The following is a 12,205-nucleotide window of genomic DNA, read 5'->3' as shown; positions in this document are numbered from 1 at the left end:
AGCCTGGCCATTTGGTGGGAAAGGAAACATTTTCAGAAGAGGAATCCAATGCTATTGCCCAGTCCAGTGAAATTGCTAAAGAGATTAGCATGATTAAAATGGAGCCAGGTGCTAGTAGTCAAGCCAATGGGAAAAAGGCCCTTAAGGCATTTCAAAGATCTTCACAACCACCCCTCCTATCATAGGCCCAGAGGTGTAGATGGACAGAATGGTTCAGGTGACAGGCCTAAAGTATTGCTGCCCTGGGCTGCCTCTGGATGTTGCTCCCTGCATCCCAGCTGCTCTGGCTCCAGCCATGGCTCAAATGGCCCCAGATATAGCTCAGGCTCCTTCTCTGGAGGGTGCAAGCCATGAGCCTTGTCAGTTTTTGCATGACGTTACGTCTGCAGGCACCCAGAATGCAAGGGTGGTGGAGGCTTGATGACTCATAGATTTCAGAGGATTTTAGAGATGACTCATAGATCTCTGAAAGCATAGACAGAGACCTTCCACAGAGGTGCAGCCACCACAGAATCTCTATCAGGGTTCCTAGTGGAGCTATGGAAGTGGAGCTACCAAAGGGACTCCCAAATTATACAGCCACCAGCAGCAGCAGCAGTGTGTAACCTCAACCTGGAAAAGCCACAGGCATTCAACTCCAACCAAGGAAAGCAGCTACTTGAGCTGCACCCACTGAAGTTATAGGGGCAGAGCTGCCTGAGGCATTAGGAGCCCACCCCTTGCAGTACCTAGGATGTAGGGCATGGAGGCAAAGAAGATTATTTTGTAGCTTTAAGATATCATGTCTGCCCGGCTAAGTTTCAGACTTGCACAGGGCCTGTTTTCTCTTTCTTTTGGCCAATTTCTCCCTTTTGGAATGGGACTGTTTACCCAGTGCCCATGAAACCATTGTATGTTGAAAACAAACATCTTATTTTTGATCCTATAGGCTCATAGCTGGAAAGAAATTACCTTGGGTCACAGATGAGACTTCGGACTTTAAACTTTTGAGTTGATTTTGAAATGAGTTAAGACTTTTGGGACTATTGAGATGAAACAATTGTATTTCACATGTGAGAAGTACATGGGTTTTGGGAATCCAGGAGTGGAATGCTATGGTTTGGATGTTTGTCTTCTCAAAACCACATGTTGAAACTTGATCCCCAATGATGGGAGGTGGGGCCTGGGGGAGGTGTTTGGGTCAGGAGGGCAGATCCTTCATGAATAGATCGATGCCTGTCCTTTGGGTTAAGCAAGTTCTCACTCTATTAGTTTCCAGAAGAGATGGTTGTTAAAAAGAGCCTGGCATCCCCCCACCCTTTTACTCTCTCTCTTGCTTCCTCTCTCACCATGTGATTTGTGCATACAATGGCTTCCATTTGCCTTCTGCCATGAGATGATGAAGAAGCCTGAGGCCCTCACCAGATGCAGATACCCAATCTTGAACTTTCCAGCCATCAGAATCATGAGCCAAATAAACCTCTTTTCTTTATAAATTATACCACCTCAGGTATTTCTTCACAAAAACAAAAAATGGACTAAGACTGATCATATCCCTAATTGCAAAATCTCACAGGAGGAGCCACCTTAAATGACACTGACTGTGTGTGAGGGACTTTCCAAAGAGTTTGTCACTTATCCTGCCAGCAGCACTGTAGAGCCAACAGAATTGCCTGTATACAAATGAGACAACTGAAACTCAAAAGATAAACAACTTGTCCAAGGTCATTTGATATATAAACCATTTTGGCCTGTAGGGCACAGGAGAGAACACTTAGAAGACTTTGGAGATGTATCTTCTGACCTCCCCTATAATTGTGTTTCTGGCTATTAAAGAATACTGTATATGAGGTTCTGAAATGACAACAAGTGGCATTCAACTTGTAGCAAACTGGTAGAAACTTTCTGGGAGAACATTCCGGAGGAAAAAAATAACATTAGAATTTGCTTTGGCTCTGAAGCACTGCAGATAAAAATCCCTACTGTCAGGAAAGCAATATTAAACATCTTGGAATATATACACATGCATCAGTTAGTGATGCTTTAATTTATATATAGATGCTTCAGTGAAAAGGGAAGATATAATGTAAGTGTAGAATGATGTCATATGGAAAAAAACCCAAGCAAAGGATGTAGTAGGGCCTTTGGAAGAACCTAGACCTCAAAAAATCAGAGGCACCTGGACAGAATGATCTGCTCTTGGTAATCTTCTCTCTGCTTGTCTGTACCCGTCTTTTATCTCTGAAGATCTTTGTCTCTGTCTAGTTTATAAGGAATTCTTCATCCCTTGAGTTAATACATTGTAAAATCTAGACCACTCTCTTTTGTTCCTGTTTTGAGTGTGTGAGGAAGGAATTCTGGCCCAGCTAGGATCACTTGCCTAAGTCTGTTGTCATATTACACAAACATGGCGACAGGGAGCCAGTCCCTAGAAGTGGCAAACCAATTCCAGAGAAGGTGTTTGGCATATAACTCAAAAGACAGTGCCTCCAACATATAGAAAAGAAGACATGGTCTCTGCCTTTGGCCTCTAGGGAGAATGATAACAGAAGATGCCTGAAGTAACAGCAAGATCATAACATCTAACCCATCCCTGATTCTAAGAGTGTGAAAAAGAAAAAAAAAAGTCACTATCAATGTAGAAAGCCAAGGAAGACTTACAAATGCCTTGTTTCATTGAATTTCAATTTCAGTCTCTTTAAAACAGCTGTTGTGATTTTATATTCACAGCAGTTTTAAGGAAATTATGTAGATGATATGGTAGGAACCAAACACCTATATGCTGAGTCTAAAGTCCTCAGCGTGTTTACTCGTATCATTTTCTCTGTCTCATCTTTTTATATTCCCTGGCATAGATTTTATCCTCCAGCAATAATGGGATATAATACCCAATAAATATATTAATAAAGAAATGTGATGCCATCTCTCCTTCATGTACATTATTTGTTTTAATTACAATTTTAGCTTATATAATTATGTTTTTCCACCTAGATCCTAAACTTCATGAATTCCTCACACATAGCGTAGGGTCTGGCCCAAAGTGGATGCCTATTATATGTGTAGAGTGAACGAATGAGTGATTGCTTGACAATAGCACCTCTGTAAAGCTTAGGTTGGAACTGGGGAAATGGATTAACAAAAGTGTTTCAGCACTGTTAAGACTCCACCTTGATTTATTCCTTTTTATTGTTGTAACTTACAATGGTAATATTTGCTTACTCTAAATAAATTCAAAGACTACAAAAGAATGTAAAGCAAAAAATCAGAGTAATCTTTTCTTCCTACTCCTGATTCCATTTTCCAGAGGTTACCCCTCTGAACCTTTCAGTATTATCCTTTCTGAGACTTATGAATCCTTATACAACATTATGTATGTACGTATAGAGGATCATATTTTGTTAAAAAAAGTGATATTGCTATAAAAAGTGTGATTTTTTCCCCACTTAATATGTGGTGGTCATCTTTCTTGTCAATACATAAACGTGCCAGTTATCACAGAAGAGAATACCAAAGGGTGAATTTGATGCTGAGGCAATAGCTTAATAGCACTATAGCAGAGCATGGCCTTGTTATTATTAGCAGCTCCCTAAATTTTGTCTGAGGATGATTTGAGCTGGGGTTGGCAAACAAGAGCCTGCAGGCTAAATTTGGCCCACTATTTGTTTTTGTAAATAAAGTTTCACTGGAACACAGCCACACCCATTTGTTTATATATTATATATGACTGCTTTAATGCTGTAATGGCAGAGTTGAGTTGTTGCAATAGAGGCCATACATACTGAAAAGCATAAAATATGTACTCTCCAGACATTAGAGAAAAGGTTTGAGGGACCAGTCTATCTCTGTCTTCTTGGCCTAGTCAGGACCCAATATCAAAGACCGCACAGTATGCTCATGGATTGGAAGAATCAGTATCATTAATATGGCAATGTTGCCCAAAGCAATATACAGGTTTTCAGTGGTATTCCTATCAAACTACCAATGTCATTTTTCACGGAATTAGAAAAGACTATTCACATGGAACCAAAAAGGAGCCCGAGTAGCCAAAGCAATCCTAAGCAAAAAGAAGACAGCCAGAGGTATCATGTTATCTGACTTCAAACTGTACTATAAGGCTACATTAACCAAAACAGCATGGTACTGGCGTGAAAACAGACAAAGACCAATGGAACAGAATAAAAAACCCAGAAATAAAACCTCACACCTCCAACTGCCTGATCTTGACAAAGTCAACAAATTAAGCAATGGAAAAAGGACACCCTATTGTTATTGCTGGGATAGCTGGCTAACTATATGCACAAGAAAGAAACTGGACCCCTACCTTTCACCATATACAAAAATTACCTCAAAATTGACTAAATATTTAAATGTAAGACCTTAAACTATAAAAATCCTAGAAGAAAAGTTAGGAAATGTCTTTCTGGACATCAGCCTTGGGAAATAATTTATGACAAAGTCTTCAAAAGCAATGTAACATAAACACAATTTAACAAGTAGGGCCTAATCGAAGAGCTTGAGCACAGCAAAAGAAACTACCAACAGAGAAACAGACAACCTACAGGATGGGAGAAAATATTTGCAAACTATGCATCTGACAAAGGTCTAATACCCAGAATCTATATGGAACTTCAACAATTCAACAAGCAAAAAACAGCCCTATTACAAAGTGGACAAAATACATGAACAGACACTTCTCAAAACAACACATACAAGCAGCAAACAAACATGAAAAAATGCTCAACCTCACTAATCATCAGAGAAATACAAATCCAAACCACGGTGAGAGACCATTTCACACCATTCAGAATAGTTATTAATAAAAAGCCAAAAAGACACAGATGCTGGTGAAACCGTGGAGAAAGGGGGATGCTTATACACTGTTGGTGGGAATGTAAATTAGTTTAGCCTCTGTGGAAAGCAGTTGGGAGGTTTTTCAGTGAACTTAAAACAGAGCTACTGTTCAACCCAGTAATTCCATTACTGGATATATATTCAAAAGAAAAGAAACTGTTCCACCAAACTGATACATCTACCTGTATGTTTATTGTAGCACTATTTACAATAGCAAAGACATGAAATCAACTTAGGTGCCCATCAATGGTGGATTAGATAAAGGAAATACGGTACACATACACAGTGGAATACTACATGGCCATAAAAAAAGAATGAAATCATGTCTGTTGCAGCACCATGAATGCAGCTGCAGGTCATTATCCTAAGCAAATTAACACAGGAACAGAAAACCAAATACTACATGTTCTCTCTTATAAGTGAGAGTTAAACAGACAAACATGGTACACATGGACATGAAAATGGCAGCCATAAACACTGGGGACTAGTGGGAGGGAAGGAGGGGGTCAAGGATTGAAAAAGAGCTATTGGGTACTATGCTCACTACCTGGGTGATGGTATTAATCATACCCCAAACATGAGCATCATGCAATATACCTATGGAACAAACCCACATGTGCACCCCGAAATCAAAAATAAAAGTTGAAATTACAAAAACAGATAAGTAGACAATGCAGTGAACTCATCGAGTTTGTAGAACAAAAAAAAAAATCACTTAACGTTTGTGGTTATTGTACTTCCTCTTTCTTTTGGCAAGTTTATCACAGGTGGATTCAAGTAACTGAAAAAGAAACAGGAAAAGATGCCTGGCATGCATGGCTGTTATTCCTGGCACTCTCTCTGATTAGGGTCCTGTATATATCTCTCAAAACACACACACATATTCACACACCCCACAGATCTATAATAAACTAGGGGTTTTCCTTATTATCGGATAGTTAATAAACCGCAGCATAATTAAATAAGAGCCTACATTTATTATTGTCATTCAGTAAGCAGCATATAGTTTTGGATTTCCTGGTTGGAGTCCATCCATAGTTAATAATTGGGTAGGATATGCTGGTATCTCAATCAGGATATGAATGATTAGCCAATAGTTCCTTGAACAGAACCTTATTACTAATGAGGAGCAGTAGATTGAGTTGAGTTTTAAGGAACTTCAGGATCACTCTGTTTTCCTTGGTGGGAGAGGAGGGAGTGTGATACAGAGAAGTAAGTGGATCAGGCTGCATGGGGTTGTGGTGACAAGGCTTTGAAGACACCCATTTATACTGTTGGTCAAGTAAACAGTAAAATAGCACCCTTGGATTTAGGGAGTGGTCTGATCTTAAATTTTAATATGCAGAACCACCCCCCAAAACGTATATAAAATGCAAATCTTAGAGTCCCAGCCACAGACATTCAGGCTCACCAGACCTGGGTCAGAGCCCAGGAATCTGCATTTTAAATAACCCCCTCAGGTGATTCTAATGGGAACATTCCTGCACCAAACTTGGAGAAGCACTGCATTCCTCTAAGATTTGTCTACCTCATTCCATCTCCCTGTCTATTTCTCTCTCTTTGCTTTCTCTTGCCTGGTCTCTATCCCTTCCTTTCATTACATGTCATGTACCTTGATAGAGATAGATGCCTGCACTCCCATGTCTAGAGGTACATGGTTGCCAATGAATGCAAAACTCAGAAAGGAGACTAGAACTCTAGCCCTCTCTTTCACTCCTCCTCTTTCCTGGCAAGGTCACAAGAACAGTCATCTATTTCATCCAAGTGTTTGCATCTAACACAATCACTGCATTCAGTTTTGAGATTTGTCATCAAACAAACTGCACCCTTGGTAAGTAATACCATTGCCCTCCTGAGCTGTGGTGCTATTTTCTTCTTTTGCACTCCCTTCTTTGTAAATGCTCTTACAGGGTTGCTAATCCTCACCTATTTCTTCTTTCTCGGGGACTTTATGAATTCAAACAGGCTCAGACAGACTGGCAATTTCGTGCAGTCTCCAGCCAGACCTGTTTTATTCTTCATGTCTTAGTACCTTGCTCAGAATTTATTGTATAAAGAAGTGCTTAGTAAATGTTTGGTGAATAAAGAATGAAAAAATAATCAGTGCCTGGATGAAATGAAGCAAGGCAGAGTAAATCTCAGAAAATTTACTTGCAGCTAAGTAGGGCTACGAGGCTCTAATATGCAAATATTTTATTTACTTGAAACTGGGACTGTCCATCTAAAACTGGTTGATGGCTAGACTCCTGATTTGAAAGCTATTTCTATTAAATCTGAACTTGTGTCTGGCAGCTTTCTCCTATCCTAGCAGAGGTTCTCCCACCCCCATACACAAGCACAACCCTGAATCGCAAGCATTGTCAAAGGTAGTGTATTTTCTGTTTTTTCAGTTTTCTAAAATCAGAGAAGGTATTTCAGGAAAGTGATTTCTAACAGATAGGTACTCTATCAGGTAAATTTTGATCCTCCTTGACCTTCATTATTTTTCTTTTGGCTGTATCCACATTTTGACTGTCAAGTAATGGGACATTACACGGAAATAGAAAAGATATTTTTTTCTCCTTTCAAAATTACTTATTTGTAAATTAACCCAGATTGAGTTTTCAACATTCTACATCATTAAAGTAATGACAGTAAATGATAGTTTATAATATTTACAACATATTGGAGTAGAAAAAAAATCTATCATTAGCACATCTTTACTGTACCTTTTTAATAGTGTAATATCATTTGACATTCTGGGCATTATTTTTTTCAGATCTGATGAACAATAAGAATGCACCCCCTTCCCTGCATTCATTTTCTGCTTTTTACTTAGAATTTTCTGGGCTTTGGCAAGCACTGAAGTTTATGGTTGCGCAGGAGGTTAGTGTGAGTTGGAGGAAAAACTTAAAACTTGACAGGTGGTGAAGTAAGGAAGAGCTCACCATTTATTTCCTTCCCACGTATCTTCTTTGTTCATTTGGGATTAATATTTTTTTCAAAACAAAGCCAAACAAAAAAATAAGAGAAGGTAGGGTTCTCAGGAGTGGGTGGCATATGAGTGACTGGAAGCAAAAAGGAGAGAGGGGAAAATGGTGAAGGGACAAAGAGAAGGGCAGGCTGAGAGAAGGAGCAGCTGGTGGGAGCAGGGAGCAGAGGGAGGCTGCTTAAGGAAAAACTATTTTTAACTGTTCTGAGACCTTTTTAAAAGTAAAAAAAATAACCCCTCTTCTCAAGAAGCCCCCACCCACGATTGCTTTCATCCTCCCACTCTGGAAAAAGTAATGTTGTTTTCAATTGTGTAGAAACACATTTTAGAAAGTAAAAAGCCCCATTTAAAAGCATGTGTGAGGAGCCTGTGTTTCTGCTCCTGACCTAGAACAGCATTGTCTCTGCGGCCTGCACATCACCTCGGGTGCCCCCAAACTGCTTTCAGACAGTAACGCCCTCTAATGGGTTGTTGTATTTTGGATTTACCAAAAACAAGCTATACTTACTGTGTGCTTCAGGGGCCAGCTCTTGGGTTGGAGCTTTGCAGCACCATCTTGTTTGTCCACCCCGATCACCCTGTGAAGTCATGTTGTCTCTATTTTGCAAAGGGGGAGCCGAGCCTCAATGAAGACAAGTCACTTGTTCAAGAACACTTTATGGTACAGCTGCAATATTAAGTCAAGCTCCCTCTCTTTTCTTTTTTAACTTTTAATTCTGAAATAATTTTAGAGTTGCAAAAAAAAAAAGTTGCAAGCATAATGTAAAGAATCCCTCTACCCTCCTCCCTCAGATCCCCAGATATTAATACTTTACTTACTTCCATTATATTTTCTCTCTCTCACCTATATATGAGTGTGTGTACCATATATGTTATATGTGTATAAATGTATATATAATTTTTAGTGAAATATTTGAAAGCAAGTTACATGATGCCTCTTTGCTCCTTTAGTGTATTTAAACAAGACATTTTCTTAGAAAAACATAGTGTAATTACTGAACCAGGAAATTAACCTTGATATAAAGCTATTTCTGGTCTGCAGACCTTATGGAAATGCTGCCATTGTCTTTTATTTGGGTCCAGGATCCATTCCAGGATCACACATTGTGTTTAGTTGTCCTGTCTTTTAGTGTTCTTTAATCTCAAACAATTCCCCAGACTTTGTCTTTCATGACCTTGACATTTTTGAAAAGCACAGCCTATTGCTTTTCAGAATGTTTCTTAATTTGAGTTTGTCTGATGTGGCATTTCTTCATGGTTAGAATCAGATTTTGCATATTGGCCAGAATCCTACAGAGGTAGTATTATATCCTTCTTAGTGCATTATATCAGGAGACACTGATGCTCCTTTCTCCCATTCTTGGTATTAACTTTGATCACTTGGTTGGTGTGGTGTCTACCAGGTTTCTCCATTGGAAAATTGCTATTTTTCCTTTTGTAATCAATAAGTATCTTATAGGAATATACTTGTAGAAAATGTAGTATGTTTTTTCTTATACTTTTACCCATTCTTTTTTTGCATTCACTACTACTGATTCTTACCTGAAACAGTTACTTTTGTGATGATTGTTAAATGGTAACTTTCTAATTTAATTACTCCTTATTTATGACTTGAAATTCTGTAAGGAAGGGCTTTTCTCCCCCACCTCCCATTTTTTTAAAAATAAATTTTATTTTGTGTATTTGAGGTTTAAAGTATGATATGGGATACATATATACAATAAGATGGTTACTACATAAAGCAAATCAACGTCTGTTATCTCAGAGTTACTTTTTTTGTGAAGAGAGCAGCTAAAATCTACTTATTTAACAAAAAACTCTAATTCAATTTTATTGACTGTAGTCATCATATTGTATATTAGATCTCTAGACTTGTTCATCCTACATGTTACTTTGTATCCTCCCCCCCCCCTCTATATATGTGTGTGTGTGTGTGTGTGTGTGTGTGTGTGTGTGTGTGTGTGAAGTAAAATCGTAGATTTTTTTTAATTCTGTAGTCTCTGGGATATTATCAGTTTTTATTTTATTTTATGTCCCTATTTAGCCAGGGGAATCCCTTCATTCTGGTTCATGTGTTCTTTTGACCTGTCCCCACAATTTTGGTTTTTCTTTGTTTTTTTTTAGCCATTTGTAACTTTGTGGCACCACAGGATATTCTAATCTCATCTTGTTCCTGTCCTGTCCCATTAATGGAGCCAACCACTTCTCCAAGGAGGTCTGGTTCCTTTTTTATTTTTATTTTTTGGAGAATGGTATTTAGAAACCAAGATCTGGACATCAGGTATGCTAATTTATAGTGGGGTATCATTGCTTCAGCCTCTCTGTGAGTAGAGGTAGGCAATACATGCGTGTGTATTTATATGCATGTGTACTTATACACATACTATATATATATTTCCATATCTCTCAGTTTATATATTAAAAATTATGAATTCACGGTGATGCTTTCAATCCTGTAATAAGTCCTCCTTAGGCTGCTCTCTTTCTGCCTGAAATATACTTCAGAGTCCTTGAATGATTTTTAATTGTCAATATTTTCAGCAACACTTCTCTTTTGATTGCTTTGTTTGCTATGAAAAAAATATATTTCTGTCTACTAAGTTTTATCTATCTTATTTAATCAGTTATTTCTTATAAATAGATTATTAGCACATAAATACAGTCCAACTCTCCTTTGCTCAGAATAGAAGCTTAACTTTTTGCCTTAAATTGTTTTCAGTTATTGTTTTCCTTGGATGGGGAAAATGAATGTTCCTTTTACCTTTCAGTCAGTCGTGTCTCACTTTGGTGATTATTTTATTTTTTGTGCTTGCCTTAGGAATAAAACATAGTGTTTGGGTTTTTTTTTCTTATTTATCAGGATTGCTTTAATGGTTTCAATCATCTTTCTTTCTTTCCTTTTTCTCTTCAAAATTAATTTTAAAATAATTATTGTAGTAGGAATCCTCAACAGCTGAGCTGTACCATCTCAGAGTACCATTATTATCACTCTGTTAGGTGACATGATAATAATCATTTCTAATCTGGTGTCTCACTACATAAACATGCATTGCTAATCACAGTATGCCTCTGATCTCATTTGTTTAAAAAAAGCAGCAGCAGCAGAAGCAGAAGTAGAGAATAAGAGAAGAATCCTTCTGAAAGCTCTTAGTTTGGCCATATTACCCCACAGTGTGGCTTGTATAAAACACTTTCACTTTCTTGCACGAGGAACATAATGGGAATCCAGGAAGACAATATGAATAATTTTATAAGTTGGCTATTTAAAGAGAAATAGGCTTTTCTGAGTTTCTGGCATATCCAACTTAATATTACAGTACTGGACCTCATTCTGAATACTTAGAATATTTACGACACTTGATGTTTGGACTTTATAAAAGGTCACTTGAAAATGAAGTCACTTTCATTTTAAAGTAGAAGAAAGTGGATGTGGAAAAGGGAAGAGCTTTTAAGGAAAACCATCATGTCTGTTCTCCTGTAAAAGGTCTTCATTTCCAGTAGTAATTGTATTTCTTAATGGCTTTCCTAATATTAGATGATTACGTCTTGATGTATGAAAGTATTTCAGCTCAGGGATTATTGAGGCTCCTCTGGCAAAATGACTATCATACTTACCTGGAACTTTTGTTTCAGCCCAAGTAACAATTGCAGATAGACATAAATTAGCAATATTTACTCAGAACTCACACGTAGCTGTTTTTCTTGTTTAATAAGGTACTTTTGCTTACAAATGATAGTTACCAGTTAAAGCCATCTTAAGATCAAAAAGGGACATCATTATAAGGATTCAGAGGTATGGCATAAATCACAGGGGAGGGCATAAACTCAGCTTCATGAGAATGCCAGGCCTCAGGACCAGGACCCAAGAAAACTATTCTCTTTAGTATCTCTGTGTCTTCTATAATTGATGGCCATGTATTATAGAGAATAGGAGTTCTACAAGGCTGTCCATGGTAAACAAACAGGATCTTTGATTCCTATTAGTCTGGGGAATGTTCCATACCACATCCACCAGGTCTGAGAGCTTCACGGTGCACAGTAGACTATTAAAGTTACTGAGAAGTTGCATGGAACAGAAACCTGCTTAACCTTCTTTAATCTACTGATTTCCAAACTCATTTGACCATTGCTTTGAGAAATATCATTTTAAACAAACACTCGAATAATATGGAATTAAATTTAATTGGATTCATGGAGTTCTATTGTATTATTTTTTAAATGATACAATGAGCACTTGTTAAGTGACTAGTTGAAGGTCACAGTATATTTTTGAGCCTCTTGGTCTAGTGCTCTTCCCACTGGTGCTTACATTCGTGGATCTTGGCTGAGGAACTGTACTGTCACAGCTATTCACTTTGTGCCCATACCCCATCACCCTAGCATTTTAAAGGAGCTCCCCACTTT

At 38.0% G+C, this 12,205-nt stretch overlaps 1 protein-coding gene across 8 annotated transcripts in view, besides 3 other annotated features; it reads left to right on the top strand.

Annotated features, from left to right (window-relative positions):
* The window catches only part of FHIT (fragile histidine triad diadenosine triphosphatase), a 1,504,176-nt gene that overhangs the window by 1,164,001 nt on the left and 327,970 nt on the right, over positions 1 to 12,205 (top strand). The window contains exons 1-2 of one of the 8 annotated variants that reach the window (NR_135491.2): positions 6,543 to 6,661; positions 9,926 to 10,082. The exons of 6 other annotated variants lie outside the window; for them this stretch is intronic. The gene's annotated coding sequence lies outside the window, so the exon portion shown is untranslated. Of the gene's footprint in view, positions 1 to 6,542; positions 6,662 to 9,925; positions 10,083 to 12,205 lie in introns of those variants that run through there. One more of the 8 variants, NM_001320901.2, reaches the window with a different exon arrangement.
* Positions 495 to 594: an enhancer, noted in NCBI's record as "active region_20019". NCBI's record gives its function as "activates an Ori minimal core promoter by ATAC-STARR-seq in GM12878 lymphoblastoid cells {active_cell/tissue: GM12878}" and the evidence as "EXISTENCE:reporter gene assay evidence [ECO:0000049][PMID:35858748]".
* Positions 605 to 734: an enhancer, noted in NCBI's record as "active region_20018". NCBI's record gives its function as "activates an Ori minimal core promoter by ATAC-STARR-seq in GM12878 lymphoblastoid cells {active_cell/tissue: GM12878}" and the evidence as "EXISTENCE:reporter gene assay evidence [ECO:0000049][PMID:35858748]".
* Positions 5,444 to 5,493: an enhancer, noted in NCBI's record as "active region_20017". NCBI's record gives its function as "activates an Ori minimal core promoter by ATAC-STARR-seq in GM12878 lymphoblastoid cells {active_cell/tissue: GM12878}" and the evidence as "EXISTENCE:reporter gene assay evidence [ECO:0000049][PMID:35858748]".

The sequence above is a fragment of the Homo sapiens genome, chromosome 3 (genome assembly GCF_000001405.40).
Source record: "Homo sapiens chromosome 3, GRCh38.p14 Primary Assembly".
Classification (NCBI taxonomy): Eukaryota; Metazoa; Chordata; class Mammalia; order Primates; family Hominidae; genus Homo; species Homo sapiens.
The sequence above is the reverse complement of the archived record's forward strand: the minus strand, read 5'-3'. Positions and strand labels throughout refer to the sequence as shown.